The sequence below is a fragment of the Homo sapiens genome, chromosome 2 (genome assembly GCF_000001405.40).
Source record: "Homo sapiens chromosome 2, GRCh38.p14 Primary Assembly".
Lineage (NCBI taxonomy): Eukaryota > Metazoa > Chordata > Mammalia > Primates > Hominidae > Homo > Homo sapiens.
In genome coordinates, this window is record NC_000002.12 from 219,538,954 (window position 1) to 219,566,391 (window position 27,438).

The following is a 27,438-nucleotide window of genomic DNA, read 5'->3' on the forward strand; positions in this document are numbered from 1 at the left end:
TCCACACTTGGCCAGTTTATTAAAGGCAGGGAGCTTCGGCAGGGTCCAAAAGGGAGAAGTTGGGAGATGCCCCCTCCTCAGCTCCCTCCTTCCCCAACAACTCTTCTACAGCCCAGCCCCCAGGGCCCAGAGGCAGGGCTGGCGTCAGGCAGACTGTACTGCATAAATACGTGGAGGCCACAGCCCGAATCAGCAGCGTCAGGGGGCAGGGAAACTGGGTTTGGGATGAGAAGTGGGTGGCTCTGGGGGCACGTCCCCCAGTGCTTGTCCAGAGCCCAGGGACCCACAGAGCCAGAGAGGGGACCAGTGGGCCAGCTTGGGGTCTGGCTACGGCCAGCCCTGCCCAGCGAGGCTGGCAGGTGGCTCTGGTTTTGGGGGAGAAGTGGGGTGGGGTGTGGCCATGCCACGGCCCACGGGGACAGGGTGGGGTCAGGTGCTGTTGCCCTGCTCCTGTTCAAAGAGTAGCATGGCCAGCTGGGTTCGGGAGCCGAGGCCCTCAAGCACGCTCTGGAGGCAGCGGTGGTACAGGTCCTCACTGAGCCTCGCGCTGCACGTCTGGGCCCGGTAGCGCTGCAGCAGCGCCGGCTCCACCGCCCGCAGCACATGCAGACTGGAGAAGTGGAGGAACAGCTCGTACACATCCAGGCTCTCCAGCAGCTCCTCTTCTTGTTCTGAGGCTGCCGCCAGGCGCCCACGGGCTGCCACATAGTCGGAGTTGTAGAAGCAGGCCTCGCTGGCTGCCTGGCGATCAAAGCGGCCAGTGTCACGGCCCAGCTCTGGGGGCCCAGGCCCTTGTGGTGGGGCCACAGCTGGGTGGAAGGCTTGGAAATGCATGGGAAAGAAGGCCTGCCAGCCGGAGATGGCATGCATGCGGCAGCGGTTCAGGAAGTCAGGCGTGAGCACCGTGTCTGGCCCGGCCAGCAGGAACAGTGTGTCCAGCGGGTGCTTCTTGGAGAGTAGATCCATGAGGCGCAGTGGTGAGGGTGCGGCTGTCTGCACACTGAGCCATGGCACCCGGGCACCGGGGAAACGCCGCTCCAGCTCTGCCACGTGGGCCTTGACAGGTGCGAAGACATCTGCATGGGCCACGCGCTGGGCCTGGCGCGGCTCATACAGTAGCAGCAGGGTCAGGGCTGCCGCAGCATCACCAGGCTCCAGTGCTGCAGTGGCAAAGGCCTCCAAGAAGCCAGGGGCCAGGTCACGCTCAGCCGCAGCTAGAGGCAGCAGCACAGTGAGACGTGAGGCCTCAGTGACATAGGGCACAGGCAAGATCTCCACGCGGCTCAGCGGCCGGAGCAGCTGCACTCGGCGAGTGAGGGGCCGGCGGCCTCCCTGGGGGGTCAGTGCCTCCAGCTGCAAGTCCAGCGTGTATTCCATACCCCGGGCCGGATCAAAGCGTCGGTAGCCATTCACCAGCTGCTGCTTCTGGAGCCGCAAGGCCGGGTGGTAGCGGCGGTTCAGCTCCTCTAGAGCTGTCCCCAGAACATCGGCCACATCAGCCCGGTCAGCCCCACGCAGTGGGCAGCGGGGTGAGCCATCGGCGCAGGAGAAAGCGTGCTGCTCCGTGAAGTAGTCCCAGCGCAGCACCTCAAAGCGGGAGGCCGGGCGGGATGGTGCTGGAATACCCACGGGCCAAGCAGCTGCCTGGTCCCCATCAACGGCCAGATGGCTGGTATTCTGGATCTCCCACTGGATCAGAGAAACAGGCCATCAGCAAGGGACAGATTACAGGGAGCAGCACACAGCTGGGGGACTGGGTAGGCAGTAGGTGCCACTCAGGATGGGCCCCTCATCCCCTGCCAACCTCTGCCCATACCTATCATTTCCCCAGCATAGACAGCCAAGAGGCTCATCAGAGAATGTAGAAACAGGCAGGGGCTGGGAAGTAGTTTTGTTCTGTGATTCTAGTGCTAACTTGTCATTTCTCTGGGCTCTCTGTGACTTCTCAGATCCTGTCCCCGTCACTCTGCCACCCCCAGACCTAGACCATACCTGTAACTCCTGGATCTCCTGGTACGTGCGTTCCAGTTCAGCTCGGGCGAAAGCTTTGTGCAGCTGGTACATGTGCACAGGGTCACGCACAGGGTGGGCTGTCAGGGCACTTCGGAAATGAGGGTCCCCCTCCTGCACTGGCTCCCCAGGGCTCAGCTCCAGATGGCTATAGTGCACCCCCTGGGGAGAGGAAGGGAAGGGATCTGTGATGAGCTGGCATTGTCTTCCGTTGTCTCATAGTAAGTGTCTCATCTCCTCAGCCTATGACCTGTTGTGGACTTGCAGTCTGAGGGTTTAAGTCTACCTTGACCAGTTGTGAGTCTGTGTGACCTTCAGCATGCCTCCGCTAGCTCATCTGCGAAATGGGCATGCGTCCTGTCTCAGAGCTGTCCAAGGGCTAAAATAATAACTAACATCAAATGCCTATTATGTACAAGGCTCCCTGATTTTTTCTAATCCTTGTAACAACCCCGAGCAATAATTATTTCCATTGGCACAAAGGAAGATACTGAAGCCCAGGATATTTAGTAATTTACTGGGGGTCACAGAGATAGAAAATAAATGTCCGAATTGGCATGGAAAAGCAGACCTGTATCTCCAACATCCCTTTGCCTCTCAGAGGGATTTGAACATGACAAGGAGGTATCAGTGGGATAGCTTATCATCCCACCTCGTGGTCACCAGTGCAGCCCACCCCGGTGGCATCGAGAATGCAGCGACCCAGCCACTCGTCAGGGCGCGCACTGACGATGTCGTTGCGGCAGCCTTCCAGGTGGGGGCGCAGTTGTTGCAGCAGCATGCGCGACAGCAGCACCCCAAAGCCTCCGTGGCAGTAGCGGCCGGGGGTGGGCTCTCCGCCGATGAAGTCCTGGGGCCGGCCCAGGTACAGGTGGGCGGCGGAGGCCAGGCTGAGGTGGCCAGTTAGGCGTGCCAGGCCGTGCGCCTCGGTGTAGGTGGTGTCAGGCACCAGGAAGAACCAGTCAAAGTCGTCGCCGTGCTGCTCCAGCAGGTGGCGCAGCGCCAGGTGCAGGTGTCCAATGGGTCGCTCCTCGCCTAGCGTCACCACTGCCATGCCAGGTGGGGCCCGGCGGCCCCGTGCGCCCGTCAGGAACACCACACGCTCCAGCCGGTGCCCCAGCGTGCGGTTCACGGCCACGCCCAGCGTGGGCAGCGTGGTCTGAGAGGTCAGCACCGCCACCAGCAGCCTCTGCCTGATGCCCAGCTCCGTGCTGATGTAGCGGGTCCTAGGGGAGGAGATGGCACAAGCTTATCAAAAGGACAACGGGGCGGGGGGTGGGGGGGAGGTGGTCAGCACAGACCCTGGCAGGTCACGTCTTCTCTGTATCTGTTCTCTCACCTATGAATAGGTTAAAAATAAACCCTCTCTCCCAGGGGTCATGAGGATTTAAACGAAATGGTCTTAAACAGGTAGTGCTTTGCATTTGGGAGATGGCAATACCCACCCAGATAGGAGAGAGATATTGTGGGTCTGACTCCGGGGTTCGCTACTTAGTAGTTATGTCCTTGAGCATGTTATTTAACCTGAGCCATCTGTAAAATGGGACTGATTATATCTGTTTAAAGCACCCAGCCAAACGCTGGACACACCATGTATCTACTCATTTCTATATAAATATGCCATTATGCCACAAATGCCTCACATAAATGACATAAAGGAACGTTTGGCATAGGGGTGTACTGAGTGTTTTTGCGGGGAGGGGCAAACTGCACTCAGGGGCTCTAGGAACTTACCTTTTGGTAAGGCAGAAGGTAAATTGCAGAACCAGCATTTGAACCCAATGTTACTTAGAAGTTATTTCAACTCATCAGCAGAGACATTAATGAGATAGGTACATTCCTCCCTCCCCCATCTCACCCTGAGGTGGCCCTTGTAACCCACTCAGGAACAAGAGATCCAGGTAAATCCTAGTTCTCTCCTTTCTCTTCCCCTGTCTCTATACACTCACCCTATATATAAGTCATTTCTCTAACACCAGCAGCCCAGCCAGGGAGCTAGTAGGATCTCTGGGGCGCCATCGGGTCGAGCCGGTTTAGGACACAGTCCAGTAAGTTCAGCCCAGGCCGGGATAGGGCCCAGAGAAAGTCTCGGACTGGCCCCACGGCTCTCGGGAAGGCAGGGCCATCGGAAGTTATCGGGGCCCAAAGACTTCCTGGCTCGCCAGCCCCTTCCTTCCGGAGCCTGACCCGGGCCCGGGCGACCTCCCCGCGCGCTTCCCGGCCGCTGCCCAGGGGGTAGAGCGGGCGCAGCCGATCACTACCTGACGGCCTTTTTGGCGGCCTGGCCGGGCTGTGCAGGGTGGTAGGGCAAGACGCGCGGCTCCCAATTCTCCCCGGCGCCTTCGCCGGCCCCGGGCTTCTCGCGCTCCGCTCCGGGCTGCACCGAGTTGGGCCGGCGCGCCGCGTTGGTGTTGCCGCGCGGCGGCAGCTCAGAGTCTCCAGGTTGGGGCGGGCCTGGGCCGCACGGCTCCTCCACCCAGGTGACGCTGAGCAGGCTCAGGGTGAAGCCCAGGGAGATGCCCACGGCCACGGGCCCTGCGGGCCGCAGCACCGACAGCAGCAGCGATGCCCGCATGGCGCCCGGACCGCGGGTCCCCGGCCCCGGCGAACCCCCAGAGCAGCCAGAGGAGTCTCCGAGGGGGCGGGACCGGGGAGGGGGCGGATCCGGAGGGCTCGGGCCCCGCGGGCGGGCCCGCTCCCTCCCCGCAGAGCAGAGCCAGCGGCCCGAGCCGAATCCCCGGAGCCGCGCCTCGATTCCCCTCCAGCAGCTGCTCTGGGCTGCGCAGGGTTCTTGCGCTCGGCACTGGAGCCTCAGCCGCGGCCGCAGCTGTCCGACGTGTCACTGCAAGGGCCCCGCCCCCGGGGTGGGGTCTCGGGCTCTCGCTACCGGAGAGGGAGGAGAAGGGGGAGGTTAAAGGGGAAGGACCCCCGGAAGTGCCCCCTCCTCAGTGCGGGAGAGGGAGACGCCGGGGGCGGAGTCCCCTGCCTCCCGCGGCGTGGTTGGTGCGTCCCATGTGACGTCAGAAGCAGCCCGCCCCTGCCTGGATGGTGCGCCCTGAGTGACGTCAGGAGCAGAGGCCGGAGCTGTCCATCAGCACCAAAGGCCGCGGGCGGGCTCAGGGCATGGGGCCGCGGTTCTGGGGCGGCCCGAGCCCCGGCTCCTGCGCCTTCCCCTTCCTCAGGCCCAGCCCGAGTTCCCGGACGCCGCGGGACTGGAGTGCCAGCCGGTGTTGGACGTGGAGCGGCGCCGCCACCGCGCCGACACCATTCTCTCCGGCCCAGCAGCCCCCTTCCTCGCACGACGGACTTTCCCTGGACCCCAGTCAGTTGGAGCCTCTGGCGCCCCGCAACCCCGGCCCCTCGGGCCTCTGCACAGCCTCTTTCACTCAGAAGCTCAGGTCGCCTCCAGCCCAGGTAAATCTTGGACAATCCCATATTGAGCCGCCCACAGATGAATCTCTTGGCTGCCTCCTTCTCACTGGCAGCACGCTCCCTTCATCCCCCCGACTCCCGTCCCTCTTTTAACTTCATCCCAGCCTCCACTAGCCAGGCACTTTTGTTTCCCTTTGTCTTTGCTCCCCACTCCAGAGATGCTTCCGGAGCTGCACAAATGTGGATACTATTCCTTTGTCCACTGTCCTTGCTGAGTTCTCCCAATCCCTCTCCCACCCCCATCCTGGTGGGGACCCAGGACTCCTCCGTGACCCCAACTTTCCCTCTGTCAGGTTAACTTGGGAGGGTGACTCCCTTCTATTCCCAGCACTATGCCGGGGACTGTGGCAACACTGCGGTTCCAGCTGCTGCCCCCTGAGCCAGATGATGCCTTCTGGGGTGCACCTTGTGAACAGCCCCTGGAGCGCAGGTACCAGGCACTGCCGGCCCTCGTCTGCATCATGTGCTGTTTGTTTGGAGTCGTCTACTGCTTCTTCGGTGAGATCCCCATCTCATCCCTCACCTGGGCTCCCCAGTGTTTCCCCGAGTTCTTTTTCTGGGCCCCCAAGTCTTCTCTGAATCCCTCTACCATCATGAATAATTCTTCCTTTTCTTTCATCCCACACATTTATAGATTGTCTAGACTCTAGATTATAGGAAAAACAGGTTTTTGGATTAGGCACACCTGAGTGTGAATTTACTTAGCTTTGCAGTTACTAATTGTGATGTCTTGGGCACATTAATCTGTCTGAGCCTCAGTTTTCTCATCTGAACAATGATCACAATATTTGTCTCATGTAGTGTTGTAAGAATTAGTAAGCATTCAATAAATTGTAGCTATTGTGAGGATGTGTTTGGCTAACTGTGCTAGGTAGCCACTGAAAACACTTAGCAGGGTTATTACACATGGTCCCTTACCACAGGGCATATTGTCTGACAGGGAGGAGACTCCCTGGAGCATTTACACCTGGGATACATATTAGAGTGGGCTGGATGGTGGTCACACACATCCATCCAGCCTACAAGGCAGGCTCCGGTAATCAGAGCTGCTGTGAATACTTGTACAGGACGGGTACTAAATAAGGGAGCTCAGCTGAGTGGGCAAGTGGGGGCTAAAGTCCAGCTCATGCTCTGACAAACTCTGGGCCTTGGCACAAAGCTGCTTTGCCTAGAGAAAGGCACACCTTTTTCTAATATGCATAAAGGTGCCAGATGGGCTAGTGGCCCAGTATAATGGGAGTAAGTGACCAGTGGCTTTGCAGCAAGAGTTACAGAACTTCAGAGAGGAGAGTGAGCTCTATGGGCTGGGGGCCCAAAGAAAGCCTCCAGGAGAATTGTAGGTGAGTGGGACCAGTGGGGGCAAATGAGTCTTGGGGGCTGGGGTTCCAGGTTGAGCAGAGGTAGTGCAAGACTTGTGTTCTGCAGCCTCCCCCTGCAATGGGTGGGTAGACAGGGTTGGGAGCCAGATGGTCCCTCCCATTCCTCCCCCAAACTCTGGGCTGAACAACTGAAGAGTAGGCAGGAGGAAGTGCCCCCCGCAAGGGTTCAGGACACGTTCTGGGCCTCCAAGGATTCTGTATCACCTCACCCCCTCCATATCTGTACCCACTCCCTCTGCATGTTGCTCAATGCAGCCTCATATTCCCTCTCCTGGGCTTCCTGACATCCTACCCCTCTTGGATGTCACTACGCCCAGGCTCATGGACTCTGAGCCCTTGTCCACGCCCTACTCCTCTCTCTGATCACGAGCCTCCTGGACTCTCATACTTCCCCCCACTCCTGGAAGTGACTCTCCTCTGTTATCTTTCTTTTTGGCTCTCTCTGACTCCTTGACCCCCATCTCTGATTTCCATCTTTCCAACTATTCAGAATCTCCACTTCCCTCACCCTTTCAAGTATCTCTAATGGGCCTAATGGCCCTATAACCTCCTTATTTCTGAAACTCCACAAACACTGTTTCCTTCTCTTTGATTCTGTGTGACCTCATGTAAGCCTTAGTGACCTCCACCTCCTCTCACCTCCAGTTATGTCATTACCTTCCATCCCTCTGACCCCCTCTATTACTCCTAGTCTTGATCCCTGGTTACTCCTCTCTAATTCCCATAACCTCATTATCTGATCACCCCTCCCCATACTGTGATCCCAGTAATTCCTTGTTTTGGTCTCAGTGTTCCTCTCTCTTGGAAATCGTTTTATACTCTCGATGATTCTATTTCTGTCAATCTCCCTAACCTACAAATACCTCATTTTCTGGGACAACTCCCCAGTAATGCTGCTACTCTGTCCTCTTTGTAACCTTTCAGTGGTGCCATTATCTCTGAAGCCCTGTGACCCCCAAAGACTCATCTTTCTGAACCTGTGTGACCCTCACCTCTCAAGTTTCTTTTTTTTTTTTTTTTTGAGACAAGAGTCTCGCTCTGTCACCCAGGCTGGAATGCAATGGTGCGATCTTGGTGCACTGCAACCTCTGCCTCCTGGGTTCAAGCGATTCTCCTGCCTCAGCCTCCTGAGTAGCTGGGATTACAGGTGCGTGCCACCATGCCCGGCTAATTTTTCGTATTTTTAGTAGAGACGGGGTTTCACCGCGTTGGTCAGGCTGGTCTCAAACTCCTGACCTCATGATTCACCCGCCTTGGCCTCCCATAGTGCTGCCACCACGCCCGGCCCTCGAGTTTATTATGATTTCCAAATACCTCATCTCTGTGAGCAATCCCTTCTCAAAGACCCCAATGACTCTTTTTCTGATCCCCTTGGGACCCCAGTGACTTCTCTCTCTGACTCCTATGATCCCAAAGACACCAATGCACGAATTCACTCTTGACTCAAAAGATTTATCCTAACTCCTGTGATCCTCAAATACATCAACCCTCATGATCTCAATGGTTATGTTTGCCTTCCCATTGACCACCAACAGCCATATCTCTCTAACCTCCCCTGACCTCAATGGCCCCATCACTGATGCCGTCATGACTCCAGTGACCCTCAATTCTCTGATCTTAGTGTCTTTGTCTCTGGTTCCCCTGGGATCCCATGTCCTTGACCCCTTGGACCTGCTCCCTCCAGCCTGGTGCCCTCATCTTGGCCCCTCACTAGCCCCTGTTCCCCTCCAGGTTACCGCTGCTTCAAGGCAGTGCTCTTTCTCACTGGGTTGCTGTTTGGCTCGGTGGTCATCTTCCTCCTCTGCTACCGAGAGCGGGTGCTAGAGACACAGCTGAGTGCTGGGGCGAGCGCGGGCATCGCTCTGGGCATCGGGCTGCTCTGCGGGCTGGTGGCCATGCTAGTGCGCAGCGTGGGCCTCTTCCTGGTGGGGCTGCTGCTCGGCCTGCTGCTCGCAGCTGCTGCCCTGCTGGGCTCCGCACCCTACTACCAGCCAGGCTCCGTGTGGGGTCCACTGGGGCTGTTGCTGGGGGGCGGCCTGCTCTGTGCCCTGCTCACTCTGCGCTGGCCCCGCCCACTCACCACCCTGGCCACCGCCGTGACTGGTGCTGCGCTGATCGCCACTGCCGCTGACTACTTCGCCGAGCTGCTACTGCTGGGGCGCTACGTGGTGGAGCGACTCCGGGCTGCTCCTGTGCCCCCACTCTGCTGGCGAAGCTGGGCCCTGCTGGCACTCTGGCCCCTGCTCAGCCTGATGGGCGTTCTGGTGCAGTGGAGGGTGACAGCTGAGGGGGACTCCCACACGGAAGGTAAGGGGGCACAGGCCAAGGTGGACATGAGAGGAGTGGGTGGCCAGGGATGGGTTGGGGGCCAAGTGACTGGGGAGTGGGGGACAGCAGCAGAAGGCCTCGATGGCGGTAGAGAGCTGACTTGCTCAGGGTCTGGGAGGATAGCACCCAGGTGCCATCATTCATTCCACAACAACATATGGAGTGCTGGCTCCGCACCAACCCCATTCCAGGCACCAGGGATACAGCAGAGATAACACAGACAAGGTTCCTGTCCTTATGGATTCAAGGCAGGCAGGAGACAGATAACAGAGATGCAAACAAACATGATTCCAGTTGTGTAGAGTGATATGACAGAGACATTGTGCAGGATAATGTGAAAGAATGACCTATGGAAGCTATTAGAGTTAGGGTGGTCAGGGAAGGCTGCTTGAAGGAGGTGATATGTAAGCAGGCACTTGAAGGCTAAGGGGCCAGCCATGCAAAGAGCTAGAGAAGAGGGAACAGCAAGGGCGAGGGCCCTGAGAAGGAATGAGCTCAGCTTGCTTGAGGAAGTGGGGCAGGAGTATGGGAGGTGAGGTGTGGGAGCCAGAGTGATTGCGTGGACCCTCTGGGTCATAAGAAGCACTCCACATTTTATTAGAAGGGCAATAAGACTTTAAACCACTGGAGAGTTTAAAGTAGGGGAGGATAGAATCTAATTTAGCTTTTGGGATGCTCATTCTGCTGCCGAGTGTAGAAAGCATTGGAGGGAGCAAGTGTAGGGGGAAACCAGTGAAGAAGCAGCTGTGATTGTCCAGTGGAAAGATGATGATGGCTGGCCTAGGTGATTGGGAGAGGGATGACAGCCTGGAAGGGGGTACCTGGAAGCCTAGCAACCTTCCATAAAGACCTATGGAAGAAAAGAACAACAGCGGGAAGTCTCCTCTGAGAGGTAGGAGACCAGGAAAGGAAGTGACAGGGTGGGAGTAAGGGGTTATGGACAAGAGGAATCTGGAAGCCTAGAGCCACAGGTGGGATGAGAGAGGGAGGGCTCAAGGGAAACAAGGCGCACCGTCCTCTGAGCTCCTTCTCTACCCATCCCACCACAGTGGTCATCAGCCGGCAGCGCCGACGCGTGCAACTGATGCGGATTCGGCAGCAGGAAGATCGCAAGGAGAAAAGGCGGAAAAAGAGACCTCCTCGGGCTCCCCTCAGAGGTCCCCGGGCTCCTCCCAGGCCTGGGCCACCAGACCCTGCTTATCGGCGCAGGCCAGTGCCCATCAAACGCTTCAATGGAGACGTCCTCTCCCCGGTGAGCTCCCTGAGCCCATCCAGCCAGAATGAGAAGGAAGTGTGGAAACTCTTTCCAAACAGGACTGGGCTTTCCCCACGGGCTGGTTGCTATCTAGAAGGCCTGTTTGTCCATGAACTGTTTGTCCATGCATCGGAGCCCATGCACCAGGGGCTTGGCGGGTCCAGCTGGTGGGGGAATTGGGGGAAAGGTTCCTGAGTATGGGTTTTAAGTGGGATATGGTATGTGGTGGGGTCTCAGGGCTGTGGACTCTGGGTCTATGGCAGTCTATAGAAGTGTCAGGCTTGTGGGAATTCAGGAAGAGGTGGCTTTTAGGGCAGGATTCTGCGGTGGGACTCACACCTATGTTTGCTCCCCCACAGAGCTATATCCAGAGCTTCCGAGACCGGCAGACCGGGAGCTCCCTGAGCTCCTTCATGGCCTCACCCACAGATGCGGACTATGAGTATGGGTCCCGGGGACCTCTGACAGCCTGCTCAGGCCCCCCAGTGCGGGTATAGCCATATCTGTCTGTCTAGACTCTGCAGTCACCAGCTCTGCCAGCTCGAGGAGGCCTGCTAGGCTGCCACTCAGCCTCCTGGCTTTGGCTGTCCCTCTCCCCAGCCTGGAGAGGGCTGGCCTGGTCACTAGAAGGGAGGATTGTCTCAGGCGAGTCTTGGCCTGAGAGGAAAGCCCCCTCCCAAGCTCCCAAGAGGCTCCTGAGGAACTCGGGGTGTGAACCCCATTGGGGTGTGCTCAGGGTTGTGAGTGTGTTGCCCGTGTGTCTGTGTGTATGTGTGTGGGGGTGGGCAGGCTTGGAGGGGACGCTGGGACCCTTGCCTTAGATTTCTGACTGGTAGGGTTTCTCCAGGCTCAGCCCCACCTCTTCACTCCCTGCCAAGGTCCCATGGGCCACCTCCTGCATGTCTCCGCGGAGGGGCTACCTTCCTTCCCATCGCCCTGCCTCGCAGCCAGACTCATCTAAGGGTTCTTGTCCTTGTCTATGGGGCAAACTGTAGCATCCCTCACCCTGGTCCCCTGGCCTCTGTAAAGCCACCAGCCTGAGGGCAGTGGCAGGAGATGGGGGTGGGGGGGTGCTGCTCTGGGCTGGGTTGGGAAGGGAGTTGGGGAGGGGTTTAAATGCACGGTGCATGTCTGGTGTCTGTCATGCCAACCTAGACACCTCATGCTTCTGTCTCCCCCACCCCACTCTGTTTTACATCTTTTATAAATGTGCCAAACTGTGTGGCCTCTGCCAGGAATGGTGGTCTTTGGTGGCTGGCACTTTCATGGGCCAGGTACAAGCACTACAGCCCTCGGTCCCCAGTGTCGCTCACTGCACAGGGGCTCCAGGCAAGGTCTGCCCCCCCACATCACTCAGAGAGGCAAGGAAATGAGCTGTAGCACTTTTATTGTTCCTTGTCTCTCTACCCCTGCCCAGGGTAAGGGCAAACGCCTTCCAAGCTGTCCAAGGGCACCCGCCTGGCCTGGTTAGGTTCTCCTAGTTGCCTGCAGAGGAATGACTCCACATGGGGCTGGGGAGAGAAGGGGGTACCACCTTCCTCTCCCCTGGCAGAGCCTGGACACCAGTACACAAAGAGCTGGGCCCCCAGGTTCTGCCCTACCCTTTCTGGGCCTTGGTTAGGGCTGTCTTGGCGGCAGGAAGGTGGGGGTCAGCTAGGGGTGGGGCACAGCGCGGCACCTGAAGGGAATGCTGGGATTTGGGATAGAAGGTGGGATGTCTCTTATGGGGAAGAGGAAAGAAAGAGGCTTCTGCCAAGGCTGACATGGAACTTGCTGAGATGGGCAGAGGCAAGCTGGGCAGAGGGCAGGAAGGAGGAGGGACAGGCTGGAGGAAGGCAGTGTTGGTGAAGTGGGGAGGAAAGGAACTGGTAGAAACAGGGCTGTTCAAGAGAGACAAACATGGTCCAGTGGCAGGAGAGAGGAGAAGCCTGGCAAGAAGGGGCGTAGAAAGGTGGGAACAGCTGACCAGGAGCAGCTGATCTGAGCCAAGCAGTTCCAGGGCTTTCCAGCCCTGGGTGTGCTCTACCCCTCCCCTCCCCCATCCCCACCTCCTACGTATCCCAGGACCCGTTGCCACCCCAAGTTCTGGAAAGCCTCCCATAGGTGTGGCTTAACCCATCAGCTCCCAGGCGCCCTCACCCTCCTGCCGCTGCCCAGTTGGCTTTACTCACCCTCTACCAGCAGCCGTGTGTGGGTGCTGTCCTGGCCGGCCTGGCAGCAGTAAGTGCCTTGGTCCTCAGGTCGAACGTCATGGATGACCAGGCTGTGGGTGGGGCCGTGGCTGCGCATCTCATACTTATCTCCCGGGCACAGCTCGGCCCCCTCCCGCAGCCAGCACACGTGGCCCCCCGAGCGGGACACAGTCACCTCCAGCACCGCCCGGCGGCCCACCAGAACGGTCTTCTCGCGAGGGGGGTGGCGGCACATCTGGAGAGGCAATGCTGGGGGTAGGGGGCGGGGGCTTAAGTTAATAGGGACACGCATGGCCCCCAGGAGGAGAGATGCATCTTCCCTCCCTGAAGTCTCCACTCCTGGCCTTAGCCCTCTATGCCACCAGTCCGTTCCCTTGCACCTCAGACCCAAAGTCTCCTCTTGCCGGGGAAACGCGCTGCCCTCTGTGACCCGGCCCAGGAGAGCCCCTCGGGGGGAAGGGAAGAGAGAGGCAGCGTTCTTGGGGCCAGCCCCAAGTCCGTCAGTCCCATGGCAGGAGAGACAGGATGTACACTCTCTGTCGCTCCCACCCCAGGTGCTTACCCTCCACTTCCAGTAGAGCCAGGGACTGGGCGGGCCCCGCCTGGAAGCGGACTTCACCGGCGTCCTCGGCGCGCAGCTCGCTAAGCACCAGAATGTGTTTCTTCCCTGGGGGTGAGGGGGTCGCTAGCGAGGCCGGAGCCACCTCTGAGGAGCGTTGGGGACGAAGGTGGGGGCCCAGCAGGCCCCTGGGTCGGTTCGGACGCCGTTAGTGTATGCTAGGGTGGGCGGAACAGGGATGCGGAGCGGGAAGCCTAGAGGTCCGGGACTAGGGGCTGGGGGCGGGGGAAAGAACAGGGACGAGGCTCACAGGGCCGTGGGGCGGGGCCCGTCGGAGCCAGGGGCGGGGCTTGTCCCGGTGGGGCGGGATCTGTTCGAGCCTGGGCGGGGCAGCGAGGGGCCCGAAAGGGTAACCAGGCGGGCAGACCTTCCTGTCGGATGCGGACGCGGGCTCCGGGTCTCAGCGGGCGGCCTCCGAGCTCCCAGCGCCCCGTGGTCTCGACCTCCGACACGGTGCACTCGAACGTAGCGCCGTCGCCTTCGCGGGCGCTCACCGACCGCAGCTCGGAGAGTACCGCCACAGTACGCTCTGGGGCGGAGCCCGGGGCGTGAGCGGGGCGGGGCAGAGGGCAGTTACCGGTCACGCCCCCTCCACGCCCCCTTTCTAGAAGCACGCGCGGTCATCAGGGTCCGGGGAAGACAGCTCCGCAAGTCTCGCGCCCAAAGCAGTGCCCAGCCTCCACATCACCCCGTACCCACCGCGCACGGTCAGGCGGACCGGTCCGGCGCGGGCCGTCCCCACCGCGCAGCTGTAGGTCCCGGCGTCCGAGGGGCCGCAGCGTCGCAGCTGGAGAAGGCGGCGCGTGCCGAGGGCCTGGAGCCGGAGCCGCGGGCTAGGCGTAAGCGCGTTCCCGTCCTAGGGGCGGGAGTTGCAGAGGGTCGGGGCGAGCCCGGCTGGGCACAGGCGACCCCGGCCCTGGCAGGCGGCGCACCCTTTGTTGATGCCAAGCGGTCTCGAGGCGCGTTTATGCGTGTCTCGTGTTCCCAGGCTGGGGTCGGACTGTCCCCAAGCCTTTGGGGTCGTGCCAGGAGCCTCTTTGAAAAAGCGTCACCCTTTGGGGACCTTAGGGCCGCCAAGGCACTCGGGAAGCCCAGAGCCAGGTATCGATCACAGGGGACATGGGCACGGATTCTGGAGTTAGGCAAACCTGGATTCGAATATGGGCTCTACCTGTTGTCTGCCCTTGGGTAGGTAATTTTTCCCACTGAGCATCAGTTTCCTGATAGGTATTACAGTGACAAGACCTACCTCCTAGAGTTGTCCTTGGAGTAAGGGATTAAATATAATGCAAATCTTAGCACAGTGCCAGGCACATCCGCTCAAGGAATATTAGCTGTTTCTGTCTGGGGCATTATTATCGTTGGTGTTACACTGAAGTGGGCTTGGCTGGGGCTGGGATCTGACCTTCTCCCAGGTAACATCAGCCAAAGCTTGGGAAAGCTCGCACTCGAACGTAGCTGTGTCGCCCTCGGTCACCTCTAGGTCGTGTGGCCCCCGCACGATGGTCACTGGGACCTCTGGGGGTGGGAGAGGGAGGACAGTGCAGAGGGAGCAGGATGGGGACCCATCTTGCAGGGACAAGGAGGACATACACTTGGGCACAACAGGCAGTAGAGGACACTAGCGAGTGGGGTTCGAGCTGGGACAAGTGGTCCAAGAAGGATCTGTCAGTGGTGGGGGTGGGGGGGATGTAGGTGGGCAGGGCCACAGGGCCAATGGGTTAGGAGTGGCCAACTGGGAGTCACACTTTAAGGTGGTCAGTGGGGGAGAAGCTGGGGGCCAGAGGGCAATGGGGAAACAAGCAGAGATGCCAGTGGAGTGGTCAGTGGGAACATCCTGGGACTGGAAGTAAAAATGGGGGACACTCAAGCAGACTTGCTAGTGATGTCGCCCGTAGGCAGTCAGTGGATTCAAGGGACTGGAGTGGTCACGGGGCCCACACTTAGGCGGGCAGAGGGAGCCACGGCAGACAGTGTAGCCAGTAGGGTCACAGTTAGAGTGGTCAGTGGGGTGGTGTGCAGGCGGGCAGACAGCAGTGACCACAATGGCAAAGGCATGCTCTTGGTAGCAGAGTCAGTGGTTGGCTGAGCCTTGGGCAGTCAGGGGCCACACCCAGGCAGAGGACTCTGGGGCCACACAGGGCCTATGAGTCAGGGGGATCACACTCTGGCAGGGATGTCAATGAGGGCCACACTGAGACAGGCATGGTCAGTGGGGGTCACACGAGTTGGGGGTCAGTATTCATGCCTGGGGTAAGTAGGGCCACACAGGTCAGCAGGCAGGCTGTGGTCCTGGAGGCCACACCTCTCACAATGAGTCTGGCTGCGCAGCGCAGGGAATCCGCTGTGAAGGAGACACAGCCTGAGTCGGCCAGGCCCAGGCCATTGAGTACCAGTCGGTGACGGTGGCCGTCCGAGTGGATGTGACACTTGGGTCCTGGATACAGCTGTACTCCACCCCGGGCCCACTCCCCGGTCACACCTTCCTGGGACAGCTCCAGCTGGAAGGTGGCACTGCCCCCCTCACTGATGGTCACGTCCTCCAGAGGCCGCAGCACCCTCAGCTGCCTCGCTGGCCGGGGGAGATGGAGAGAGGGAGGATGAGGCCTCCAGCTCTGGGCAGGGGTTGCAGTCAATCCTCATCCCTTGGCCCTGCCTACACCCCTGAACACCCAACCTAAGGTCCTGACCAAAAAAGTTCGGAACCAGGGTGCAGGAAGAAAGGAGCACGGTGGACAGATTTGGCGGGGGGAGGGCTGTATCAGGGTTAGGAGATGAGGGCACAGGAAGGGGGAGAAGTGTGGTTAGGGGGTCGTGGAGTCTGGGTGAGGGGTGCTGTGACACTTGAAGGAGCACGGAATTTGGAGTCAGACACACTAGGAATGGAACCTCGCTCTACCACATAGTTTGTGTGCTATGTGATCTTTGGCAAATGGCCTGACCTCTCTGGACCCCAGTTGCCCCAGCTGTACAAGGTGAATAACATTGGGACACAGGTTTATTGTGATGATTTCTTGAATGAAATAAGTTAGAAGAGATGTGTCACAAATGACAACCATTCACCAAGCTCTGTGTAAGAATTTTCATGTTATCTCAGTTAATGTTCCCAGAGACACTTGAGACGGGGATCAACCCCATTTTTAAAATTTGAGACAGGGTCTTGCTGTCACCCAGGCTGGAATGCCGTGACATGATCATAGCTCACTATAGCCTCAACCTCCTGGGTTCAAGCAATCCTTCTGCCTCAGCCTCCCTAGTAACTACCATGCCCGGCTAATTTTTATTTTTTTTTGTGGAGATGGGTTCTTGCTATGTTGCCCAGGATGGCCTCGAACTCCTGGCCTCAAGGGATCCTCCTGCCTTGGCCTCCCAAAGTGTTAGGATTATAGGCGTGAGCCACTGCACCTGGTCTCAGCCCCATTTTTAAGGAGACTTGGCTCAAAGAGGTTAACTTGCATGAGGTCACATAGGAAACAGAGGGCTCCAGCTTTGGGTGGGAGGTGTGGGGTGCTGTTTGACAGCCATCCCTGCTACTTAAGTGGGTATGTGTATCCCTAGAATACATGCCTGAAGGATGCCCATGGCAAGTCTTTCTGGAGAATATTTGTGTTTATAGCAAAGCCGACTTGGAAATATGCAATGGAATGCAAAATCCACATGGACTTCTAAGGTAAATAAAAAATATTAGAAAAAGAAAAGTTTTGCTTTGGGCAAGCTGCTGCTGGGACGGCCATGGGTGACTTTTCTCAGCGATGAGGGGCACTTTGGTGGGGGCCTGAGGGACTCCAGGACAGCCAGAAAAGGCTGTGGTGTAGGGTGGGTAATGCATTAAGAGAGGACGGGGCACTCACGCCTCACGCTGAGCCTGGCCAGGGTGCGATCGTGGTGGCTCTCGCAGCCGTAGGTGCCCTGGTCGGCCAGTATGACACCATGGATGAAGAGGCGGTGGATGTGCCCATCCTGGGCCATGGACAGGCGAGAGTCGTGGGGCAGGGGCTGCCCACCTCGCACCCAGCGCACGGCCCCCGCTGCACCCACTCGGCCTGTCTCCACTTCGAGACACACATCCTGGCCTTCCTCTGCCCGCACATCCTGCAACCGCCGTAGGAACAGCAGCTCTGTCTCTGGTGGGGAAGAAGGAGGCCATGGAGTCTGGTGGGGTTGGAGGCTGGCCCCTTGCTCCATCCCACTGGTCTGTCCCTAGGTGGAGAGGCAAGGCTGCTGGAATCCTGGTTGGGAGTACAGGCACGGGACACAGAGTATCTCATCCTCATCAGGACCTAACCTCGAACATGGAGCCGGGCACTTGTGGCCGTGCTCCCTGCCCGCAAAGTCACGGTCCCTGCATCCCCCAGTTGGCAGCCTCGCAAGGTTAAGATGCGGCTTGAACCATTCTGGGCCATCTCCACCTGGGGCCCTGGAGTGACGACGGCCCCATTGCGCAGCCAGGTGACATCGGCATCTGGTGGGGAGACTTCACACCGGAACGTGGCATCATCGCCCTCGTGGACAGTGAGTGGTGTCAGCTCCGAGACCAGCTTCACCAGCAGTGGCTCTAAGGGGCACGGTAAGGCAGTGAGCTGGGCTGAGTCTTTTCTTCTCTCTCCTTTTCATCCCCTCCTCAGGATGCAGGCCCTCGTCCCCAGTCATTTAACAGACCTTCTGTGAGGACCTACTATGTATCGACCACACCGATGGCCCAAAGGACAAGATGCCAGCTCCCTGCCACTCCTTTTAGTCAGTTCCTCATAATCCTAGCCTAGCACCCCACCTTGGTGGCACCCTAATAATATCAATTACCAGGGACCCTATTTACAGCATTTACTTGTCACAACAGGCCTATAAGAAAAGCACTATCCCCTCTTTTCAGAGCCGGGGCTCAGACAGGTTGAACAACTTGGCCAATGTCACACAGCTACTGGGGCACAGAATCTAGGCTGGAACCTGGCTGGGTGGACTCTAGAGCCCCTGCTTTTAACCACTGGTTTATGCTGCTCTCAACATGAGGGTTTCTGGAAAGAGGAGCCCTGAGCCCCTATCCAAGTGATGGTCATGCACGCACTGGTTGGAGCCAGAAGCAGCAAAGCGGGGGTGGAGGAGTAAGGGGGCCCTAGAAAGTGGCAGATGGTCCTTGGGGTGCCACAGCCCACAGGGTGTGAGGGGTACACTGTTACCTTCCACGCTGACAAGGAAGATGCGGCTGTCCTGGGGCGCATCGCACAGGTACTCCCCAGCGTCCCCGCTCCGTGCCCCCTGCACCCGCAGCACCTGCCTGGCCCCGGCCTGCTCCAGCTGCACCCGCCCCTGGCTTGCCAGTCGCTCCCCGTCCTTGTACCAGCGTACAGGGCCCCCTGGCCCGGAGAGGTGCACCACCAGCTCTAGGTCCCCGCCTGGGGTGCTCCGAACCCTCGTCTGGGCTGCCTCGGGAGCTACCACCCGCACAGGGGGCTCTGTGGAGTCAGAGCTGGAGGTCACTGGGAGGGAGAGGCTCAGGGCTTTGAGGAGGGCACGGGGAGGCATGACGGGGAAGGTACTGAGAGAAGTGGGGCCAGGGATGGGCAAGGCATGCTGGAAAAGCAGGAATCCCGCAGAGTTTGGGGTGCCACTCTCAGGCTTGGTGCCACTCTCAGGCTTAATGCCCAGGCTGTACTCACCAGCCACCTGGACGGTGAAGCTGAGGCTTGGGGCTCCGGGGGCTGCTCCAGACTGGCAGGTGTAGAGCCCTGCATGGGCTGGGCCTGCAGCCTGGATGCAGAGGACTCGGCGGGGGCCCTCGGCATGGAGCTCTAGGCCCTCGCCCTCCTGCACGGGCCTCCCATTGTGGCTCCAGACCACGGGGGCGCCAGCCCGGGACAGTTCACAGCTCAGCACCACTGGCTCCCCAGGGGCCACACAGAGCGGGCTTGGAGTTGTCTCTAGAGCAAGGAACTGCACTGGAGGCTCTGGAGAAGAGAGGAAGGTGTCATCCCATGCTTGCCCTTGCCTCCCTGCCCTGGGTTGGCCAGGAGCACCCACCAGCCAGGATGACATTGAAGGTGATGGCCTCATGCCGGGTCTCACACACATACTCCCCGGCGTCCTCAGGCTGGGCGTGGGGCAGGGTCAGGGTGCGGGTGGGCCCCTCGGCACCCAGCTGCAGGGCATCTGATGCCTCCACTTCCAGCCCGTCCTTGTACCAGCGCACCTGAGACCCAGCTGGGGCCACCTCACAGCGCAGCTCCACGCGCCCTGGAGCCCCAAAATGCAGATCCAGGGAGCGGGCTGCCGGGTGCACAATCCTCTCTGGTGGGGCTGGTGGGTGGGCATGGAGAGGGGCACATAGGCTTGGCCAGCAGGCCTCTCCTGCCTCACCCGCCAGATCCTCAGCCCTCCCCACTGGCAGCACAGCTCTTGAGAACAGTGCCAGCTGCAGTCCATGGAGCAGCTGCTGTGTGCCAGGCACTGTCCTAAGAACCCTGTGTTTTTTCAATCAGTTACTCTGACCACCCTCAAGAGGTGCACAGCTGCTGGCTGCACTTCATGGCTGAGGACCTGAGGCCTCTTTAGAAGAAACTGACTTGCCTAAGGTCACACAGACAGAAAGAGGCAGATCTAGACTCACACCCAGATCTACACACCCCACTCCACACCCATCCCCACTTCCTATCCCCTTTCCCTGCCTTGCCTCTGATGCACTTGTTACCACCTGACAAACCATCTCTTTTATTTTTTGTCTGTCCACCCTCACCAGAGTTTAAACTCTGTGAAGACAAGAGGTTTAGTCTTATTGGTTCACTGCTGTATCCCCAGCATCTAAAACAGTGCCAAGCACATAGTAGTTGCTCAATGAGTATTGAACGAATGGATGAATGAACGAATGGTTCTAATTGCTGGGCACCCTCCCACCAGGCCTCTGGTCCTGACCTGATGTGGCTAAGCAGGATTCTGATGGCCAAACATGAGGAAGCTGGATAAGGGGAAGGCTGGGGATGGGGTGGGGGAGGTGGGGCTAGGTGGGTGTCTGTCCCTTAGCCCCCTACCTCTCTACCTCCTCTCTGTGCTGCAGAGACTGCCCACCTGTGACAGTGACAGTGAAGAAGGCCGAGTCATCTCCAGCATCACATACAAACTCGCCCCCGTCCTCGGGCTGAGCAGCAGGTAGCACCAGGCGGCAGCGTGGCCCATCCCTCTCCAGCACCAGGGCCTCGCTCTCCTCCACTTCCAGCCCATCCTTGTACCAGCGCACAGGGGCATCCTCCCGAGACAGTTCACACATCAGCACCACACACTCCAAGGTCACGGCGATCAAGGTCACCTCATCGCGAGGGTATATGATCCGCACTGGGGGTTCTGCAGGGTGGGGACAACCACAGCCTGTCACAAGCTCACCGTCAGCCTCTCTGGAGCCATTCGGCAGCATGAAGTCCCTATCACCCACATAATAATGAGAATAATAAGTAAAATAATAATAAGCAATAATAGGTCCACAGTTTGTTCTCTGAAATCCCTGGGGCCAGAGGGTGTTACAGAATCCAGAATGCTTTGGATTCCAGAAATGATGCGTTTCTCATCTATCACATACCTTCCTCAGCCCCCACGGGAGCCTCCCCCTTCATCGGTCACGTTAACATGTCTGTGGTATAACACATACTACATTCACCCTAAGCAGGATAGATTGAAAGATACAGAATCTTACAGATACAAGCATATATCTATAAGACACTCATATCTTATAGATATACAGCTATAGCTATATTCACCCTCAGCAGGATAATTAAAGCATAGAAATAGCTTCAGAGCAATCAAGCTCAGGTTTTCCTGAAATGACTTGGAATACAAAACTTACAAAAAGCCTTTTGATTTTGAGAGTTTTGGAATTTTGGAACCATGGATAAGGGATGGTGGATCTACAATAGCAAACATTGATATGACACTTCCTAAGGTCCAGGAACAGTCCCAAGCACTTGAAACATTTAACTCTCACGGCAATCCTAAGAGGAAGGTAGTGTTTTGTCCCCATTTTCCATATAAGGGACTGGGCACAGAGTGATTATACAACTTCCTTAAGGTCACAGCTGGCTACACCCACTCTGGGGCAGGAGGAGGAAATACCCTCTGTTAAAGGGAGGCTCAGACCCCACAGGTAGTGGCAGGAATTCCAAGCCAAGGCTTGCAGGAACTCAGTAATGCTTTTTGCATTCAACGTCTGTCTGAGAGTTCCCCAGGGGTGCTAAATGCTGATTCTGGGAGCTCATCTCCAAGTTCTGGTCACTCCTCTGCAGAAAGGGAACCATGTCAATATTAGAGGTGACCAGCGCATGGAGCCCAGGCCTGCCCACACCCCTGCTGCCCCCAGGTCCCCCCAGAATCTTCAAGTTTTGGGGCGACTACTGCTCCATTAGCCTCTGGCCCCCTGGTGGCTGGGCTGAGGAACTGCTAGCTTCCCAATCAGGGGCCAGGGTTGGGGGGGTGGGGGCTGGGGGTGGTTTATAGGGGCATGCATGGGCCGAGGTAACCACAAGCTCCCACTCAGCCCCCCAGCCTCCACGGAGACTCCTGCCTTGAGCCACACAACCCACCTCCCCCATGGGCTTGCTTGCTCTAAGGGTCTGGGGGATGCAGGCTGGTCCTCTGGGGCCGAGCAAGGCCAGGAGAGACCAGAATGCAGCTGCCTGAGGAGTGGGGAAGGTGATGAGGGCAGTGGGGTGAGGACAGGGTGCAGTGATGGGACCGGGTGGCTGCCCAGCCCCGGGACCTCAGCTTGGTGTCAGACTTGATTCGCTCTGGCCTAGAGCAGAGGTGGTGTTTGTGTGAACTTCCCTGTGAAGAGACTGGTGTTTGTGGGGAGCCTGAGCATGGGCTGGAGTTTGTGTGGCTGTGGCCATTCTGTCTGGCCATGGCTGGGTGGGAGAGGGTGAAGATGATTACGACAGGGCAGAATATGTGCAGAAGGCCTCTTAGGCATTGTGGGCTTGTGTGTGTAGAGTGCATTAGCTGGGGTGCAAGGAGCAGGGGGGCCCTAAACAGCTCTGCATGGGGCGTGACTTTCAGGGCAGGGCTGGGAGAGGACAGGACTGTGGCCGCAGTAGGATGGGGGCTCCAGTGCAGCCACTGGGGTTCTGTGCCCCCCAGAGCTGCCTAGCCCTATGGACCCCCAGCCCCAGACACACACTGGGCTGGGCGCTGTGAGCCGTCACCCCGAGGTCTCCGGCACTGAACCTCCGTCACTTCCACAGTTGTCCTGTGCTTCTCCCGCTTTGAATATTCCCCCACACCCCACCCCACTTAGCTCCAGTATCAGCTTTGAAAGCACTTCCTGTTGCCTGGCCAGGGTGGTGGCTCCCAGCCCCAGGGTCCCTAGACTGGCCCTCAACAACCCATGCTCTAAGATCCTGGAATGCGTCTGGCTTTCCTGCCAGGCTGTGCAGTCCTAGAGGGAAGCGGCCGTGTCTGCGTGCTGCTGGCTCCCGTGTGTGGAAGGGTGACTTTCTCCCAGGCCTCCCTGACCCTCCTGCTCTGTGCTCTTGAGCCCTCTGCCCTTGGCCCTCACAGTACTTATCACCAGGTGTCACTGTACATTTATTTGCATGTTTATTGGTTTAACACAGGGGTCGCAAACTCAAATGCCCACAGGGGCCAGGTTAGGTTAGCGGCTGAAGCAGTCTGGGGAGAGGCAAAAAGCAATGGCAGGGAGGTGGGACAGAGGAATGTGGGCCCCAAACTATGGGGGCAGCTGCTACTCAGTGCCAGCTGTTCGTCGCCATGGGGGGAAGCGGGACCAGAGCCGCCGGGTCTTCGGCTTTTTCAAGAGGACGCATAACTCCGGATTGTTATTTGAACTGTCCTGACTTTGGTAAGACTCTGCAGACCAAACAAAGCACATGTGTGGAATGCGCAGGGCCCCAGGACTACCCGTTTGCGACCCCTGGTTAACAGCTGCCTCCTCACCTAGCCTGGCAGCTCATTCAGAATAGGGACCGTATTTGCATTACTCACCTGCTACTCCCAGTGCCTGATTCAGGGAAAGTGCTCAGTAAATGAGCTGTGGAGCAGAGCTAGGCCTGGCCTTGGGCACCGGGGAGGGGCTTGTTTCCTTGAATAGGGGCCCTGGGCTCATCTCAGCAAGAACCCTGGCACATGCACCTGCAGCCCACACCTCCCTCCTCCCCGGGGTGCTAGCTGGGGCTATGTGGCCAGCTCCTCCAGGGCTCAGGGCTGTCTCTGTGACCCCGGGGAGCTGGGCTGGGCCCACACCTGTGACGGTGACAGTGAAGGAGGCCGACTCATCGTCAATTTCACACAAGTACTCGCCGGAGTCCTCGAGCTGGACAGCGGGCAGCACCAGGCGGCGGACAGTGTCTTCCTTCTGCAGGAGCAGCGCGGGGCTCTCCACCACCTCCTCTCCATCCTTGGTCCAGCGCACCTCTGCCCAGGGCCGGCATAGCTCACAGGTCAGCACCACACGCTCCAGGCGCACGGCTGCCACATACACCTTGCCGCTGGGATACACGATCCACGAGGAGACGTCTGGAGGACAGGGACAGCCACTGCCGGGCATGAGGGGTGTGCCCTGCCGTCCTCCCTGACCCCGTTGTGTTCCCTACCCCTGGAAAGTAGGCCATGTGTTGAAGAGGGACCTTCCTGAGACCAAATCTCACAGCAGCTGACAGTTACTCACAGCTAGAGACACACGAATACAGCTGTCACAAAAGCACAGCAGACTTTCTGCTGCGCAGGAGCTGCACAGAGGGGACCACGGGGTCAGCCTCGGCTGTAGAAACGCTCCACATTCTCTGGGTTGGGACAGGGACGGTATGAAGGGTGGAACTGATGAGAGGAGGGTTGGGGGGAGGAGCTGGGGGTCTCCTCCTCCAAGATGTTTTTGCCCCCCTAGTGCCTGAGACCACCAGCCCTAGACTCTGCCCTACCCTGCAATAGACTCACTGTCCCCAGAGATTTCCCTTGGTACAGGTTTTCAGGAGAATAGAGAAAGCCAGGCTTCCTTAGCCAAGACCAATGTGCTTATGATAACACGTTTCCTGAATGTGACTAGACCATAGCTTGAGGAGAAAGGGAGGAGGTCCGATCTGCCAGGGGGAGGGCAGTAGGGGCGGGGAACAGTGGCCTGGGAGTGAAGGTGTGGCAGCTGTTCCAGTGGGAGCAGGGGCACCTTCCCCTGTGCCTCCGAGGCCCACCTGGCCCCCCACCTGTGATGGTGACAGTGAAGTAGGCACACTCATCTCCAGCGACGCACTGAAACTCGCCCCCGTCTGAGGGCTGGGTGGCGGGCAGCACCAGGCGGCGATGGGGCCCCTCATTCTCCAGCACCACGAAGTCACTCTCCTCCACCTCCTGCCCGTCCTTGTACCAACGCACAGGGGCGTCCTCTCGGTCCACCTCACAGGCCAGCATGACACACTCGGAAGTTATGGCATGCACGAACACATGTTCTCGGGGGTCCACGATGTGCACGGGAGGATCTGGGTGGGAAGCAGAGATGGCATTGCACAGACACCCCCGCACAATGAGTCCAAACTAGCTGTGTGGCCAGGAGACACTGTTTCTGCACAAGAGGACACTGGAGGAGGGCTAAGGTCCTGCTGTGTAGGGACTCAGGGACAATGACAAGGAATGCTGAGGGCATGGCAGGTGAGGCATGGCAGGAGATCATGTGGCACCAGAGTGCTCTGTAGGTCCCCAAAGGATCAGAGGTGGCGGGGTGAGTACATAGAGAGAAGGAAGCACAGAGAGTTCACAGAGTGGCAGCCACCATTTGTCTAGGCTGAAGGGAGGTCACTGTCACAAGTCACATCAGGGCCATGCTTACTGCCTCTATTACGAGAAAGACCCCAGGGTGGGCAGGAGGTGAAGGATGATCCAACAAGTGGCAACAGTGAGACAGCCACTCTCCAGGTAGTGGGTTCCCTGTCACTGGGTGCATTCAGGCAGGGGCCACAGTGTGGAAAACAGGACTCCCACTCAGTGAGATGAGTGGGATCCATGGTTCCCAAGCTGCTCTCTCAGAGAGTCTGCACTTGTTAGGAAAGGATCTTCAGGCTCCACCCTGGATACTGGGGCTCTGGACAGTCCAGGGATTTATAACCAGCTTCCAGGAGCTTCCTAAAGCAGCCAGCCTACGGACTGCCTTGTGAGAACCACGGGGTGACTGCACTCGATGCTTCTGTTTGACTCTATCTGAGGCAGCAGGAACAGAACAATCCTGTGTGTGTCGCCAAGCTATGGTGTGACGGAGGTCACATAACCTCTTACAGCCTCCATTTCTTTGCCTGTGAACTGGAGATATATTGCCCCTCATCGAGTTGTGAAGATTAAATGAAAGAGTGTATATTGAAAATACTTAGCATAGTGCTTGGCTCAGAGTAAGTGTCCAAAAAGTGTTTGCTCCCATCTCTCCTCCCCTTAATTGCATTTTGTTCCCCCACCCAACCCAGCAGAGGCTATGTGGACAGCGAGACAGTGTTAGTGTATCAGGGGTTTAGGAGGCAAAGGCACGCTGTGCGTGGCACACACCTATAATCCCAGCTGCTCAGGAGGCTGAGGAAGGAGGATCGTTTGAGCACAGGAGTTCAAGGCCAGCCTGGGCAACAGTGAGACCCTCATCTTAAAAAAAGAAAGAAAGAAAGAAAGCCAGGCATGGTGGCTCATACCTATAATCCCAGCATTTTAGAAGGCTGAGGCGGGCAGATCATTTGAGGTCAGGGGTGACCTAACCAACATAGTGAAACCGTCTCTACCAAATAATAAAAAAATTAGCTGGGCGTGGTGGCGCGCACCTGTAGTCCCAGCTACTTGGGAGGCTGAGGTGAGAGAATCGCTTTAACCCAGGAGGCGGAGGTTGCAATGAGCTGAGATCACGCCACTGCCCTCCAGCCAGGGCAACAGAGTGAGAGCCTGTCTCCAAAAAAAACAAGAAACAAAAAAGCAAGTGCAGAGTTATCTGAAACATGTCCCCTGGGCCACTGGACTCTCCCTGTAAAGGACTCCCCCAAGTAGGCAGCAGACCAGAGGGCATGGCTTATGCGGCCCCACAATCAGCCTTGGCTGGAGGAGCCCAGGCTGGCATGCTTCCTGACCTTGGACAGTGACGCCGAAGAAGGCCGAGACCCCTTCTGTCCTGCACTCAAACTCGCCACTGTCCTGGACTTTGGCCTCAGGCAGGATCAGACGGTGTTTGCGCCCATCCATCTTCACCACCAGCAACTCGCTCTCCTCCACCTTCTGCCCATCCTTGTACCAGGTTGCCGGGAAGTCCACCCTTGAGAGCTCACAAGTCAGCACCACCCGCTCTGAGGTTGTGAAGGTCAACGACACCCTGTCCTGGGGGCTCAGGATGTGCACCGGGCTCTCTGTGTGGGGAGAAGTACAGATAAGCACCCCTCCCTCCGGTGCATGGGCTCAGTGTCGGATGCATCAGAGGGAACAACTGCTGTTGTTGGGGTTTTTAAAAATAGGCTTAGGCTTCCACACCAACCCTTAAGAGCAGTGCTTTGGCTGTGCATAAGAATTCCTAGGGAGCCTGCTAAAAATGCAGAATTCTTGGATTCCCAAGCACGCAGGGGCCAGGAAATCTGCATTATAAACCAGCCCTCCAGGTGGTTCTGATGTCAGTGAACTGGGATCCCATTTTGGAAATGCTGCTCTGGTTGCTGGTCAGGTCTCACCTGGCCCCTCTGCCTGCGATGCTGACAGTGAATCACCCCAAGACCCCGTGCATGGGTGCCGACAGATTCCTTGATTGGTCTTACAAACTCCAGCAATGGTGACATGGCAAATGCTAGCGTGATCCTTGAACTTTGAGCGCCCCACCTCCAGCTGTTCTCCTCAGGGATGCCTCATTCCCCTCCTTCCCCCTTTCAACAGGTGGCACAGTGTGATCAGGAGCCCGACTGCCTGGGTTCATAATTCAGCACCTGTGCTCATTAGCTCCGTACTTTGAGCAAGTCACTTAACGTATCTGCCTGTTTCCCCAGCTATAAAATGGGAATGTCAAAAGAACCTATCTTAAGTTTGAGATAAGCCTGGCCAACATGGCGAAGCCCCATCTCTACTAAAATACAAAAACAAGCCGGGCATGGTGATGCATGTCTGTAGTCCCAGCTACTCGGGAGGCTGAGGCAGGAGAATCTCTTGAACCCACAAGGTGGAGGTTGCAGTGAGCCGAGATCGCGCCATTGCACTCCAGCCTGGGCGACAGAGTGAGACTCTATCTCAAAAAAAAAAAAA

The 27,438-nt window shown here is 58.0% G+C and overlaps 3 protein-coding genes and 1 non-coding gene across 22 annotated transcripts in view, besides 12 other annotated features; 1 reads left to right on the top strand and 3 right to left on the bottom strand.

The window, feature by feature from the left end:
- On the bottom strand, nt 1-4,856 carry CHPF (chondroitin polymerizing factor). Of its 3 annotated transcripts, none has more exons than NM_024536.6 (4): nt 4,272-4,856; nt 2,663-3,236; nt 1,993-2,172; nt 1-1,689 (listed from the first exon to the last, which is right to left on the bottom strand). In NM_024536.6, the coding sequence occupies exons 1-4, from the start codon at nt 4,583-4,585 to the stop codon at nt 430-432; spliced, it is 2,328 nt and encodes a 775-aa protein (NP_078812.3). In that variant the 5' UTR covers nt 4,586-4,856; the 3' UTR covers nt 1-429. The 3 variants fall into 3 exon arrangements, with proteins under 3 accessions (NP_078812.3, NP_001182660.2, XP_011510140.1); NM_001195731.2 differs by lacking the exon at nt 4,272-4,856 and adding an exon at nt 3,960-4,144; XM_011511838.4 differs by lacking the exon at nt 4,272-4,856 and having other exon boundaries at nt 2,582-3,236.
- Nucleotides 4,288-4,377: a silencer, noted in NCBI's record as "silent region_12358". NCBI's record gives its function as "represses an Ori minimal core promoter by ATAC-STARR-seq in GM12878 lymphoblastoid cells {active_cell/tissue: GM12878}" and the evidence as "EXISTENCE:reporter gene assay evidence [ECO:0000049][PMID:35858748]".
- Nucleotides 4,388-5,097: a silencer, noted in NCBI's record as "silent region_12359". NCBI's record gives its function as "represses an Ori minimal core promoter by ATAC-STARR-seq in GM12878 lymphoblastoid cells {active_cell/tissue: GM12878}" and the evidence as "EXISTENCE:reporter gene assay evidence [ECO:0000049][PMID:35858748]".
- Nucleotides 4,710-11,642, top strand: TMEM198 (transmembrane protein 198). Of its 3 annotated transcripts, NM_001303098.2 has the most exons (6): nt 4,710-5,058; nt 5,193-5,424; nt 5,771-5,940; nt 8,553-9,128; nt 10,199-10,401; nt 10,764-11,642. In NM_001303098.2, the coding sequence occupies exons 3-6, from the start codon at nt 5,775-5,777 to the stop codon at nt 10,899-10,901; spliced, it is 1,083 nt and encodes a 360-aa protein (NP_001290027.1). In that variant the 5' UTR covers nt 4,710-5,058; nt 5,193-5,424; nt 5,771-5,774; the 3' UTR covers nt 10,902-11,642. The 3 variants fall into 3 exon arrangements, with proteins under 3 accessions (NP_001290027.1, NP_001005209.1, XP_016858856.1); NM_001005209.3 differs by lacking the exon at nt 4,710-5,058 and having other exon boundaries at nt 5,075-5,424; nt 5,736-5,940; XM_017003367.3 differs by lacking the exon at nt 4,710-5,058 and having other exon boundaries at nt 5,075-5,424.
- Nucleotides 5,138-5,277: a silencer, noted in NCBI's record as "silent region_12360". NCBI's record gives its function as "represses an Ori minimal core promoter by ATAC-STARR-seq in GM12878 lymphoblastoid cells {active_cell/tissue: GM12878}" and the evidence as "EXISTENCE:reporter gene assay evidence [ECO:0000049][PMID:35858748]".
- Nucleotides 8,253-27,438, bottom strand: part of OBSL1 (obscurin like cytoskeletal adaptor 1) — a 24,334-nt gene continuing 5,148 nt past the window's right edge. The window contains exons 6-21 of one of the 15 annotated variants that reach the window (XM_011510857.3): nt 26,289-26,561; nt 24,402-24,674; nt 23,449-23,721; nt 20,272-20,544; nt 19,231-19,506; nt 18,870-19,157; nt 18,390-18,665; nt 17,501-17,770; nt 17,067-17,339; nt 15,521-15,787; nt 14,621-14,733; nt 13,915-14,071; nt 13,583-13,744; nt 13,159-13,263; nt 12,576-12,845; nt 8,253-10,568 (exon numbers count right to left, since the gene is read on the bottom strand). In XM_011510857.3, the coding sequence (XP_011509159.1) occupies nt 10,495-10,568; nt 12,576-12,845; nt 13,159-13,263; nt 13,583-13,744; nt 13,915-14,071; nt 14,621-14,733; nt 15,521-15,787; nt 17,067-17,339; nt 17,501-17,770; nt 18,390-18,665; nt 18,870-19,157; nt 19,231-19,506; nt 20,272-20,544; nt 23,449-23,721; nt 24,402-24,674; nt 26,289-26,561 (3,623 nt within the window). In that variant the 3' untranslated portion in view covers nt 8,253-10,494. Of the gene's footprint in view, nt 10,569-11,774; nt 12,333-12,575; nt 12,846-13,158; nt 13,264-13,582; nt 13,745-13,914; nt 14,072-14,620; nt 14,734-15,520; nt 15,788-16,195; nt 17,340-17,500; nt 17,771-18,389; nt 18,666-18,869; nt 19,158-19,230; nt 19,507-20,271; nt 20,545-22,768; nt 23,056-23,448; nt 23,722-24,401; nt 24,675-26,288; nt 26,562-27,438 lie in introns of those variants that run through there. The other 14 variants (NM_015311.3, XM_017003697.3, XM_017003696.3 and 11 more) reach the window with 14 other exon arrangements.
- MIR3132 (microRNA 3132) lies at nt 10,120-10,194 on the bottom strand. Its single transcript, NR_036082.1, has one exon. It is a non-coding gene; the product is annotated as a microRNA 3132 (primary transcript).
- Nucleotides 13,423-13,582: a silencer, noted in NCBI's record as "silent region_12361". NCBI's record gives its function as "represses an Ori minimal core promoter by ATAC-STARR-seq in GM12878 lymphoblastoid cells {active_cell/tissue: GM12878}" and the evidence as "EXISTENCE:reporter gene assay evidence [ECO:0000049][PMID:35858748]".
- Nucleotides 13,681-14,181: an enhancer, noted in NCBI's record as "H3K4me1 hESC enhancer chr2:220417356-220417856 (GRCh37/hg19 assembly coordinates)". NCBI's record gives its function as "activates a minimal SCP1, AML or CMV promoter by ChIP-STARR-seq in naive H9 embryonic stem cells {active_cell/tissue: H9 hESC(naive)}" and the evidence as "EXISTENCE:reporter gene assay evidence [ECO:0000049][PMID:30033119]".
- Nucleotides 13,803-13,892: a silencer, noted in NCBI's record as "silent region_12362". NCBI's record gives its function as "represses an Ori minimal core promoter by ATAC-STARR-seq in GM12878 lymphoblastoid cells {active_cell/tissue: GM12878}" and the evidence as "EXISTENCE:reporter gene assay evidence [ECO:0000049][PMID:35858748]".
- Nucleotides 14,182-14,682: an enhancer, noted in NCBI's record as "H3K4me1 hESC enhancer chr2:220417857-220418357 (GRCh37/hg19 assembly coordinates)". NCBI's record gives its function as "activates a minimal SCP1, AML or CMV promoter by ChIP-STARR-seq in naive H9 embryonic stem cells {active_cell/tissue: H9 hESC(naive)}" and the evidence as "EXISTENCE:reporter gene assay evidence [ECO:0000049][PMID:30033119]".
- Nucleotides 18,736-18,926: a silencer, noted in NCBI's record as "fragment chr2:220422411-220422601 (GRCh37/hg19 assembly coordinates)". NCBI's record gives its function as "represses an EF-1alpha promoter that drives an FKBP-Casp9 reporter gene in an ReSE screen in K562 erythroleukemia cells {active_cell/tissue: K562}" and the evidence as "EXISTENCE:reporter gene assay evidence [ECO:0000049][PMID:32094911]".
- Nucleotides 21,194-21,488: an enhancer, noted in NCBI's record as "tiled region #8831; K562 Activating non-DNase unmatched - State 13:Ctcf". NCBI's record gives its function as "activates a minimal TATA promoter and a strong SV40 promoter by Sharpr-MPRA in K562 cells {active_cell/tissue: K562}" and the evidence as "EXISTENCE:reporter gene assay evidence [ECO:0000049][PMID:27701403]".
- Nucleotides 21,672-22,535: an enhancer, noted in NCBI's record as "H3K27ac-H3K4me1 hESC enhancer chr2:220425347-220426210 (GRCh37/hg19 assembly coordinates)". NCBI's record gives its function as "activates a minimal SCP1, AML or CMV promoter by ChIP-STARR-seq in naive H9 embryonic stem cells {active_cell/tissue: H9 hESC(naive)}" and the evidence as "EXISTENCE:reporter gene assay evidence [ECO:0000049][PMID:30033119]".
- Nucleotides 25,984-26,845: an enhancer, noted in NCBI's record as "OCT4-H3K27ac-H3K4me1 hESC enhancer chr2:220429659-220430520 (GRCh37/hg19 assembly coordinates)". NCBI's record gives its function as "activates a minimal SCP1, AML or CMV promoter by ChIP-STARR-seq in naive and primed H9 embryonic stem cells {active_cell/tissue: H9 hESC(naive and primed)}" and the evidence as "EXISTENCE:reporter gene assay evidence [ECO:0000049][PMID:30033119]".
- Nucleotides 26,846-27,438: part of an enhancer, noted in NCBI's record as "OCT4-H3K27ac-H3K4me1 hESC enhancer chr2:220430521-220431382 (GRCh37/hg19 assembly coordinates)", that runs on past the window's edge. NCBI's record gives its function as "activates a minimal SCP1, AML or CMV promoter by ChIP-STARR-seq in naive H9 embryonic stem cells {active_cell/tissue: H9 hESC(naive)}" and the evidence as "EXISTENCE:reporter gene assay evidence [ECO:0000049][PMID:30033119]".